Genomic DNA, 13233 nt, shown 5'->3' with positions numbered 1-13233 from the left:
AGGAACTTGCAACTCACTTCTGGGAGGGGACCACTTAGGGGAACTATGATATTAGACTGTGGCAATGTCGACCTCCACACAGGAGGAAAGAGTAGTCACATACCCTAAATCTTGCGTAACGTGGTGTCTTAAAATTTCAATAAATCTACTGAGTTAAATTAACAGCAAAGCAGAAAAATTTCCCAAAGCTATTTATAGCTCCACTAAAATGGAAGACAAGTTAAGAAAATGTGTGTTCTAAATAATCATGTCAGAAGTTAGTGTTTCCTTCAAATATAATCATAGGCCTAAGAATTTTTATCCAAGATTGATGAAATTTTATTTTACGCAACAATAAATGGAACACAAAGGCTGCACATCATTTTTTTGTCTTCTGTACATATCACTAAAAAAAAAAAGCATCAAACTAAAACAATGAATATAATATTAAATAGGGATTTTTTAATTGCTAATATTTTTAATATAGAGAAAGAATAATGTTTAATGATTAATTACAAAATTGATGAACTAGAATAGTGAGAAATCAAGGAGAGCTGAAATTTATGGAACTTTATGATAAACTAATAAAGGACAATTTTATTCCTAGCATTTTAATTATTTGCTTTATCATTGCATTTTAAATGCAATTATCAAAAATAAAGGTTATAACTAAGAATTTCAAAAATTCTCATTGTAGCAGAATTGGTAACAAAGAATTGAATACAGAGGGTGAATCTTATATTGCTTTATTATTATTAAAACTAAGGAAATATTTAGAATTTTGTGTACTAATTTAGCTACGAAGGAAAAGGAGGGCGTCATCATTTTAAAAATGTTTCCACATTGTCTACAGAAGCCTAGATTATTAAAAAAAAGAGTGGCCTCAGATAGATATCTGATTGGAATACACTACAAAATCTAGTAGTCAACTTGTTAAGATATCTGAAGATTCCATTTAAGACAGATTGTGAAAAAATATACTGGAAGAAATAGATTTTATTTAATATCCTTAAACATAAAACTTTGTTACCTTCTAAAACGCTATATTTAGTTTTATTTCTATTTTATAATATTGTATATGATGTGCTTTCTTTTCCAGGTAAAACTAACAAAAGACAATAAAATGTTATTAACTTGAGTTATGGTTAAAGTAGAAGAGCTGTGGATATTACACTACATGAAAAAAAATTCTTCCACAGATATTATTTGTGTATGCATACATCGATAGAGATACACATAGATAGATACAGATACAGATAGATATCGATATAGATATAGACTTGGCTATAGAGACTGTGGGTTTTTTAATACAGCAAGAAAAGAGAAATATTTATTTACACTGGATCAACAAAGGAACTAGGCTATTAACTCAGATTGTAATAGTCTAAAATTTTTCCAAAAATTAGGAAAAATAAAATATTTATATGAATTTTACCTGGAAGTGTTTCAAAATAGTTTGCAAAGAGTGAGAATGAATTTCAACTTGTGAGTAAAGGGTAAAACTGAAATGAAAGTTAAAACAAATAGTTTCCCCCTTTCATTATTAGATCATGATTTATTGAAAACAATCTTGATTGTTAAATATTGATTAAAATTAATGAAGGTGCAGAGTTCCTAAGACCTTGTCATTTGAACGTTATGAATATCTTCACAATGAAAACATTATTCGTGTTATTTATGTGAGCTTATATGTACTTTTCCGCATAAATAATTTGTACTCTTAGTTAGAAACAAATGAACTATGGCTTTTGGTTTGGTTTTGTTTATTTATGAATAAACATTAAGAACTGTGCTTATGAAATTTTCAGGAAATATACTGAATGCTTTAATGTACTCTGTAACATTGCAACATATAATTTCCCCTCTTCCCTCACTTTTTGATGTAGCTATCATTGCTTTGAGTTTTTATTTACTGGTTATTTTAAAGAGCTTAATGGTCTCATTTACTTAAAAGTGGAATAATATTGGACTACTATTTTCTTTTTTTAACCTCTCTAGGTCATTCTACAGTCATTACCTTCCAGCCTATTTGTTTCTGCAGAATCTACGTATGTAATACCTATAAATTTTCTTTTCATATTTGTTCACTCATCCACATCATTAATAAAGTTATTAAGTGAAGACAAACCCAGCAGTAGCACTCCCTTACCACCTTGAAATATTGTGCTGATGTAGAGGTTGTATCTGATTTAATTCTTCAAGGATTATTAATGTATGTGGAACTAGCTTTTCAGCCATGGAAATCTTTAGTACGTATTTAAGAAAAAGTGATTTAATGCTCAGTAGGGAAATGTTGTCCAAAACAGTGCCTGAAAAAAGCAGGTATGTGTCCACATTGGGCACACTGCAGGTGGGGTATATTGTTGAGATAGGAAGGAAAAATAAAATGTGAGAAAAGGCAAGAGACAGAAAACAAAGTGCAGGTCGGGAAGAGACAACTTTAACTTCCACCATTTGTTAATCAATTCTGAAATATTTTCATTTTTACAGCCTAAAATTATGCATGTGTTGGCATTTTTTTAAATGGATGATATTACAGTTTTCATTCAAGCATTGGTATAGAGCCTAACCTTTTGTTATGGATGAGATGTTTAGATTGTTAATCTGGAAAATCTATTTTCCTGTTATTGAAGTCACATATATACATATATGTATATATACTTTTATATATGTGTCTATATATAGTAAAAATGTGTATATTTATTTTAAAAAGTATTTTGGTTCATGTTTTTGTTCTTAATGTTGTCCTACTAAAATTACTTAATCATAAATCTTTCTACTAACAGTAAGGCAGAAACAGAGTAACAAGGGATTTTTTTTTTCTATTAAACTGAAGACAGAGAAGTTTGGTATTTATTTTTACCTAATATAGCAAACTTCAAAAAACAATCTATTTCAATAAAAATATTTTCCCCAGCTACAGCAATAAACAAGGGATAATATATAATCTAAAAATGTAATGGAAGAAAAGGCACAGCATTAAGAGATTGCCTTATTTTCCTTTCTAGCACATCTTGCTCTTAAAATATCCATTAGTCTATAAAGGGTGCTATTTACAAGGATCAGTTTCCCTGTATTTCTGGGTTGAATGATCCTCTACTTTTACTATCCTTTGCTAAACATGACAAAATAAGAAAATAAAAGATAAATATGAGATGAAGACCTCAAATGACATCAATTTCATTGCCTCTAAAAAGTTGTGATGATGAATGTTACCACTACTCAACTGAGTTTATGAAAAGGCAAATATACTTTTAAAAATGTAGGGGTGCTTATACAAAGACTTATGTGTTTACGTTTACTTTTTTTATAAAGCTGATTTAATCAAAAGATTTAGTTAAGGCCGGGCGCGGTGGCTCACGCCTGTAATCCCAGCGCTTTGGGAGGCCGAGGCGGGCGGATCACGAGGTCAGGAGATCGAGACCATCCTGGCTAAAACAGTGAAACCCCGTCTCTACTAAAAATACAAAAAATTAGCCGGGCGTAGTGGCGGGCGCCTGTAGTCCCAGCTACTTGGGAGGCTGAGGCAGGAGAATGGCGTGAACCCGGGAGGCGGAGCTTGCAGTGAGCCGAGATCCCGCCACTGCACTCCAGCCTGGGCGACAGAGCGAGACTCCGTCCCAAAAAAAAAAAAAAAAAAAAAAAAAAGATTTAGTTAGTAATTTATTGACTCAAATACTTTATGCCTTCTATTTCACATTTTTTACAGGTTTATAAGTCTAGATACCTATGTCAATTAGTGAATTTTCTACCAAGAGTTCATGTTTTGTTGCTTAAAGGCAGATAATTTTTTTATTTAAATAATATTAAAAAGAGGAAAATATTTCAAAATACCAAGATTGGGAGGTGTCTGGGAGATTTATATGTATTGCTTTTATTAACTGTCTAGCACTGGATTTATAAACCAGCTTATTTTTTTAATTTAAAAGCTCTCTGCCTTGCAATTTAATTCACATGATCTGCATTAACCATGCCATATTCAAAATTTCATTGATAAATTCTATCCAGTAGTCAATATCGAATTGTAAACTGATGTAATGTGCTTTAAAATATGAAGATTTAATCTTTAAAATATGAATATTTGATTGAATAATTACTACCACTAAAATCATGTTTACTTATTAGAATTATCATATAGGAATTGTTTTATAATGTATATGTTAATTGAATGTGATTTCTTGATACTTAGGATATACGTTAAGTATACATAAACAAATTGGAAATAAAGTTCTGATATACTGTTCCATGAAAGTTTCAAATCTTTATATTAAAGATTACCATTTGAGTCAGAGGCAATGATAGGATTTTCTGTACTTTATCCACATGTTTATATATATACATATATATATGTTTTCATATAACCTTTCATAAGGATAGAAAAGAACTATGAATGTTTCTCCATCAGGCATCTTTCAAATACAACATAACAATAACTTCCTTAAGTATTTTATTTAGGCAAAAACTATAAAATGATGGAATGGAAAAAGAATTCTCAATGATCAAACCAAAGCAATTATATTTGATTCTGAATTTTAAAAGATTAGTCCATCAATTTATATTTAGAGGTTAGAAAACACATTCTGAGAGACAGAAAATTATATTACTTTTCTAACTTCCTGGAGAATATTGTGCTTTGTCAAATTTTACATTTATGAGAAGTTTTATATTAAAGCTATAAAATCTATCAGGGTAAGTTAATATGAGTATTTGAAAGTTTCACTGTTAAATTTATATTATCACATATTAAATGAAAGAACTGTTAACTGTGTACTGAATTCAAAAGTTAATATAGCTTCTCTCTTTTTTAAGAAATGGGACACAATATTAAAAAATTAAAGAGTTTTCAAATATTTATACTTAAATTTATATCTAAGGAATTATATATAGAATGCATACCTTTCAAGTAGATACTATTGTTGCTGTTAAGATTATTGTCAACAAAATTTAAATACACAGACTATTAAATAAAGAAATTAAAACAACAAAAAATAACCTCTCGGCCAGGTGTCCTGGTTAACCTGTAATCCCAGCACTTCAGAAGCTTGAGGCAAGAGGATTGCTTGAGACCAATAGTTTGAGACCAGCCTGAGCAGCAAACTGAGACTCTATGTGTATCAAAAAATGTTTTAAAAGTAGCCGGGTACTGAGGCAGGCACTTGTAATCCAAGCTACTTGGGAGGCTGAGGTGGGAGGTATGCTTGGGCCCAGGATTTTGAGGCTGCAGTGAGCTGTGATTGCACCACAGCCCTCCAGCCTGGGAGAGAGAGGAGACCTTGTTTCTAAAAACTAACTAAATAAACAATAATGTAAAAAATCTCTCTTTAGGTGTATGCTTCTCTTTGCCAGTGTTTAAGGGTTAAAAAATCAATATGAGAGATTAACTAAAGTACCAATTTAGAGTTAAATGAGTGCATTTGCCACTTGAGTGCCGATTGCCTCGCATGACAGACAATATTAAGTGCTGATGACTTTAACTTTCACAAGTTTTATGCGATAGTGGGATAAATTTTTACTTAAAATGTGTTAAACTTCGGTTTAATTGCACTAATTAATGTCTCAATAGATATACTGTTGTATCTACCTCAAAATGCAAACACCAATGAAGTAATTCATCAGAAGACTTGATATGAATAAAGAATGGAACAGTAAAGTTGAAGATAAAAAACATAGAAATTGAATAACAAATACAAGTAAGAAACAAGAAGAGTGATAAATAGCAGAACATGGCATCCAAGAGCTGAAGGACAGCTCTGGATGCCTAACTTGAACGGATTCATGAAAGAGAACAAGGATGATAAATACTTAAAAACAAAATGAATGAGAATTTTCCAAAAGAAGTGAAGGCAATCAAATCGTAAATCCAAGAAACATTTCTAGAGATATAGGGGCTACGTAAACAAACTAAAAAAAAGGTAAAAAATTATATGAAGACAAACATAGTTGTGTTGTATGTATTATATAGTTAAATATACGTTATACACAGGCACGAAGAAAAGAAGTACAGGAAACCTGTCCTCAAGAACTATTTAACTGTATACTGGAAATTTTAACCAGTGTACTAAAGTAAGAAAAATAAACAAAAGGCATACAAATTGGATACGAAGAAATAAAACTCTATTTGATTCGTGGATGGTCTATGCACAGTATTCCATTATGTACAAAATAATTAAAATTATTAGCAGTGAAGCTGCTAGAAATAAATTGTGAGTACAAAATAATTAAAATTATTAAAAGTGAAGCTACTAGAAATAAATTGTGAGTTTTGTAATTTCACACTATGCACTATAACACTATAATGTTAATATACAGAATTATTTTTTATATATAATTGTTGCAGGAAAAACCCAGACCTGTGTAGAAGAACATCCCTCTGCCAAAGAGATAGTGCTGAAATAACAAAGAAGGACTCAGACAAGTCCAGCTTCATGAGAAGATGAGTTTATTAGGACTTACGTAAAGGGCAGCGGGATAACTCCAGAGATCCGCCTGCTGCCCACCATCTTCCTCTAAGCTGCTTTTAAGCTACTTTTTTCTTTTCTTTTCTTTTCTGTTTCCTTTCCTTTCCTTTCCTTTCCTTTCCTTTCCTTTCCTTTCCTTTCCTTTCCTTTCCTTTCCTTTCCTTTCCTTTCCTTTCCTTTCCTTTCCTTTCCTTTCCTTTCCTTTCCTTTCCTTTCCTTTCTTCTTTTCTTTTCTTTTCTTTGACGGAGTCTCGCTCTGTCGCCCAGGCTGCAGTGCAGTGGCGGGATCTCGGCTCACTGCAAGCTCCGCCTCCCAGGTTCACGCCATTCTCCTGCCTCAGCCTCCCGAGTAGCTGGGACTATAGGCGCCTTCCACCACGCCCGGCTAATCTTTTGTATTTTTAGTAGAGACGGGGTTTCACCACGTTAGCCAGGATGGTCTTGATTTCCTGACCTCGTGATCCGCCCGCCTTGGCCTCTCAAAGTGCTGGGATTACAGGCATGAGCCACCGCGCCCGGCCAAAGCTACTTTTCTGGCTCTTTGCTTACTACATGTGATGAAACTGTTCTTCTTGGTATGTACCTAGATATGCTCCCGGATGTTTTGGTTTTCAGGGACATCTGCTCCTCGGCTGAGCACCATGAACTTTGCTCACCATCTAGCCTTCAGGACTCAAGCAGTCAACATATGCCCTTAAATTCCCTGGTGGGGGACCCGCTACTTTACAACACTATTAATGAACAATTGGAAATTAGAATTTTTTAAAGTTACATTTAAAGTAGCACAAGAAACATTAAATTCTTAATCTAAAAAAACATGGAGAAAGGGTAACAAAAACTAAAAAAACACTGGTAAAAGAAATCAAAGAAGAAGTAAATAAGTAAAGAGCTTGGTAGCCAATATTGACAATAAATTAATTCTGTTCAAACCAAACAAAAAATTCAATACAAAAATTCAATCCAGTTAAAATTCCTAACAGGATATTTGCAACTAACAAACAAGCTCATTCTAAAACTTTCAACAGAGAAGCAAAGGAATTATAATGGAAAAATCATTTTGACAATAAAAAAATTGAAGAATCCACTGATTTATATGTATACTATATACATATATGTATATATACATATATTATATATACATACATTATTATACATATATGTAATATACATATGTATATCTGTTGGTGACTTTAACCATATGATTCATAATTTCAAAAACTGGTGAATAGTCAAAAAGTTATATACTGTATCTATTTAATATCACATTAGGAAGAAAAAGAAACAAATCTGATAACATAACAACATGAATGTGTCTCAGATTTATTATGCTATTTTAAAAGCCAGATTTAAAGGCCTATTCAGGATGCTGTTTGCTCCCTTGTGTATGACATTCTAGAAAATATAAAACCATAGGGACAAAGAACAGCGATTTCCAAAGACTGAGGGCAGCAGAAATACTGATTCAAAAGGCACAAAAGGGAATTTTTCTAGGTGATGTTACTGTTCTATATCTTGAGGATGGTATTTGTTATATAACCATCTATGTTTTCAACACACTGCATACTTAAAAAGATGACTTTTGGCATATATAAATTTTAATTCGATAAACCTGAGTTTTTAAAACAAAGATTTTCTGTAACCAGTAGACTCATAACACTGTCTTCCTGCCATTGACTAAGATGGTTTCAATAGTGGATTCCTCTTGTTCATGCCAGCCAATGTGTCTTTTGTTTAACCAAAACCCTTGAAATATCTTTGCCTCAGGCTTTTATTGCAATTTCCTGTAATTTAAAGACTTCACCCTCCTATTCACAGGAGTTAGTATCTTGAAATGGTAATAACTTGAAAACAGCTATGGTGGGAGGACTTACTCTTTGAGTGTAACTTACATACATGCAGCATACACCATGTATCAAGACTTTCTTTTTTTCTGTTTTTTTTTTTTTTTTTTTGAGATGGCGTCTCACTCTGTTGCCCAGTCTGGAGTGCAGTGGTGTGGTCTCAGCTCGCTGCAACCTCCACCTCCCTGGTTCAAGCGATTCTCCTGCCTCAGCCTCCTGAGTAGCTGTGACTACAGGCACCATGCCACCACGCTGGGCTAATTTGTGTATTTTTTATTAGAGACGGGGTTTCACAATATTGGCCGGGCTGGTCTCGAACTCCTGACCTTGTGATCCACCCGCCTTGGCCTCCCAAAGTGCTGGGATTACAGGCGTGAGCCACCGTGCCCAGCCGACTTTCTTTTCATTTGGATCACTAGTTTACCAACATCACTGCCTTTACTCAACTCTATTAACAATTATTTAACCTAGTTTATCAAGTCACTTGTCAAAATAGAGATTTATATTGTTTATATATGTAATATTTTACAAATCTGTATTTTTGTACTTCACTATCTAATTAAACCTTTGGGGTAACTTTTATGTGTATCCCAAATAGGACAGGACAGTCATTCATTTCTTATAATGTATCAGCTAATTTCAAGGAGACATCGGAATTTTTGTGGAGACATCGGAATCTGAAGAGCAAAGTGATTCAAATTGGGTCACAGATTAAATAATTTTTAAAATGTTTACTTTAAATATCTTAAAAAACTTTAAGGAGAAAATTAATTTTTCTATATTGTTCTTGGCCTTAAAATATACATTAAGCATTAGTTTTCTGGCTTTTGATGTTTTTCATAAAATTAGCTCAAAAAATGCAAAAAGCTTGTATGAATATATAAGGGCCTTTGTAATCATATTGTAATTGCTTGACATAGTTAATTTCTTGATTTCTGACTCTGGCATCTGAGTTTCATAATTGTTATGTAATTACTCTATTTTTTTAAATCATGTTTTTAAATGGAAGTTTCAGTCTCAGATCTTTTCTATTTCATGCAATAAATAATTTTTAGCAGTAAAGAATTATTTGGCAATAAATATTTTTTGAGACGTCATGCTCCAATGATATAATTTAGTCCACTTTCTGCTTGAAAATATGCAAAGAAGAAATCTCTTGTTGGTATTAATTTCAGAAGTCGTCTTTGCACACACAATGATGATCATTCTGTTTTCCTTAGATAATTCATGGTAGTGTAACCCAATAATATAATCTTAGATGTGTAACTTACATACATGCACGTGGCACATGAAGCATGTGGTGTACTGAGATGAAAATAAGCTTGTAAAAGTCATTGGTTACCTAACTGCGGCTTGGTACCTAGCACACCCTACCTGCAACGGTCCCAACAGTTACACTGGCTCTATTTGACTTAGATGATGCAGGGGTGGGTTCAAAATCCCTCTCTTTTTCCTAATTACATACGACTGAGCATCCCTTCCCTTGTCTCAATCTGGGATTTTGAGAGTTTATTATAAGATCCCCAGTGAAAATCCACCCAGGTGGTTCTTCCCTACCCTCTTTAAATGTTCACACCCTAGTGTGAACAAGCTAGAAGTGGATTCTTTGAGGCAGTGACAACAGACCATGTTCAACTTCTACACTCCTTGATGTTTGTGTATTGGAAGAAGGTGTGACAAGATGCCAGGCACCAGAATTTCAGGTTGGTCTTTATGGAATTCTTGAACTCTAGGGCTGCATCCCTCCCTATAATGAGGCAAAGTTGGGGAAGTAGAAAGTTCAATGCAGCCTATGATTTTTACCTCATGGTTTTCTATAACCTAATACATATCACATTGAATTATGTGTTAACTCGTGAGCATTCAAATTAATAGAGCATGCTGTACCAAAATATTGTCATTATTTTGGTTATTATAAATTATATATGGCCATGATCAGTGCTATAGGGCAAGACTATATCATTTTTTACTTCTAGGCTAAAAGGATTATGTTCCTACACATGAATTATGTAACTTTTTAAAAAAAATAGTGATATTTTTCTATTAGAAGTTAAAGCAATTAGTTCTTTACAACATTGGCTACGTACTCAAATCAACTGATTCCTGGGTTTCCCCTCAATCCAAGTAAATTAGGCAGAGAGCAAAACTAAGGAACAGTATTTTCAAAGCTGACCAGGATTGACAATGACTGGTATTCAAATAGCTGTGAATTTGTGCAAATGTAGCAGAAGACAGCAAAGGGTTCTGGATATGCCAATTATTATTTATTTATTTTTATTATACTTTAAGTTCTAGGGTACATGTGCACAATGTGCAGGTTTGTTACATATGTATACATGTGCCATGTTGGTGTGCTGCAGCCATTAACTCGTCATTTACATTAGGCATATCTCCTAATGCTATCCCTGCCCCCTCCTCCCACCCCACGACAGGCTCCGGTGTGTCGTGTTCCCCACCCTGTGTCCAGGTGTTCTCATTGTTCAATTTGCACCTATGAGTGAGGATATGCGGTGTTTGGTTTTCTGTCCTTGCGATAGTTTGCTCAGAATGATGGTTTCCAGCTTCTAGAACTGGAAATACCATTTGACCCAGCCATCCCATTACTGGATATATACCCAAAGGATTATAAATCATGCTGCTATAAAGACACATGCACACATATGTTTATTGCGGCACTATTCACAATAGCAAAGACTTGGAACCAACCCAAATGTCCATCCATGATAGACTGGATTAAGAAAATGTGGCACATATACACCATGGGAATACTATGCAGACATAAAAATGTATGAGTTCATGTCCGCTGTAGGGACATGGATGAAGCTGGATATGCCAATTATTATTAAAATAATTTTTGGGTTAAGCTGATTTTTACTTTTCTGAAAGAAAGATCCAAACACAATGCCTATAATAAATCTTAGAAATTGTCTGTCTCCATTGGTGAGATTAGTCAGTATAAACACTAACATATATAAATAAAACCAAACAACAGTTACTCTTTTCCATAATGTTATGCTTTTGTGTTCAATGAAATATTTAATTTAATTACTAAATTTCTAGCATTTCTCTGAAGGATAAAACAAATAAGCAAACAAACAAATTAACAAGAAAAAACCAAAATAACTTCAATGAATTAAAACTGTCTAGTGCTACCTTTCCTATAATTATCGTCACCAAATAAAGTGCCTATTGGACAGAGATGGCTGGTTCACCGCAATCTCCACTGACCCTTTCGCCATCAGTAAAAATGTCCTCTAATGCTTAGCCGGACACATGATCACCAGGAATAAATGCTATATTCCCAATCTTTTCTTAACATAGGGCATGACACATGTGACCAATTTCTGACCTATGTTGTGTAAGGGGAAGTAACGCGTGTAACTTCTGAGAAGCTGACTTATATGCAGGGGGCATGTCCTATCTCTGTGCTTTCTTCCTTCTTGGAAAGGCAGCTCTGATGGCTAGATCTGGGGCAGCCATGGGGCAACATGACAAGCAGCAGTACTTGGAGGTGCAAAGCAACAAGATAATAGCCATCTGGATTTCTGATGATCATGAAGACATCATATCTGAACTGGGGTGTCTGCATATCCCTGAGAGGCAAAAAATGTCTATATTGTTTCCGTGAGTTCTTAGCCTACACTGCACATACGAGTTATCAGAGAACTTTCAAAATTTATCAAATGCCCAGTCCTATTAAGGTATCTGGAAACTTATTCTTGGCCTATAATTTTCCACTGGGTCAACTATAACCCAGGTTTATCTGTCTTCTATATCCAGAGACTGTACCCTGCTCCTATGCAGTCTTGCTCTCTCCATAGCTTCATATGTGCAGCAGAACTCACCCTCTGCCTTCCATAACCAGGAGTGGGGCGCTACCTTCCCTCACCTGACTCCTGTGCTGCAGAAACTTGCTAAGAAACACGGAGCATATGTTTCAGACTCAGAATAAAATTATTTTTACAGTCACCAAGTTTTAGAGGTTCTGATTTAGTGTATCTGGGTGTGTCCAGGGTACCAGTGTGCTCCCTTCTCACTCAAATGAAAATTACTGGAACATGATGTTATTTGGTATTCAGTTACACAAAGCTGAGTGTAACTGATTGGTTAATAGTAAAAGTTTTGATTTCAGTAAAATAGTTGAATTATTCTAAACCATAACTTTGTAGCTACATGATTTGGGTGAGATGATTTTTTTTTTTTTTTTTTTGAGAAGGACTCTCACTCTGTCACCCAGACTAGAGGGCAGTGGTGTGATCTTGGCTCACTGCAACCTCCTCCTCATGGGTTCAAGTGATTCTCCTGCCTCAGCCCCCCGAGTAGCTGGGATTACAGGTGTGCACCACCATGCCGGACCGGTTTTGTACTTTAGTAGAGATGAGGTTTCACCATGTTGGCCAGGCTGGTCTCAAACTCCTGATCTCAGGCGATCCACCTGCTTTGGACCCCCAAAGTGCTGGGATTACATGAGTTAGCCACCACACCCTGCCTGAGATGATGTTTTTGAGCCACAGTATTCCCATCAGTAAACCGGACATACTAATTGTAATTTCAGGTATTTTTGTGACACATATATTGTTGAAATTATTATTATTAAATTACTGACTTTAATAATACATTCTTAAATTAGTTATTATTATAATAACATAATTAATATTGAAAGCAGTTTATAAACTTGCGTGGTGCTAGGGGGCACTACAATGTAAAGGAATTTATGTAATAAAAGTAAAGATGCAACGTTTGATTTTATTTTTCATGTTTTGTAATGCAAAAATTAACTGTCCTTTTATTTAAATTACAGCACATGCAAATTAACTTTTAGGTATATAATTATTCTGAATTATTTCAGAAAACTATTATGGTCTCATCACTGGATTAAAAAATGTAATAATATTCTCAGTTTAAAGAAAATGCACAGGTTTTAAATCCTCTGTGATAAGGGCCCATGAACTTGG

Source organism: Homo sapiens, chromosome 5 (genome assembly GCF_000001405.40).
Source record: "Homo sapiens chromosome 5, GRCh38.p14 Primary Assembly".
NCBI lineage: Eukaryota > Metazoa > Chordata > Mammalia > Primates > Hominidae > Homo > Homo sapiens.
This window is presented reverse-complemented; position numbering follows the sequence as displayed.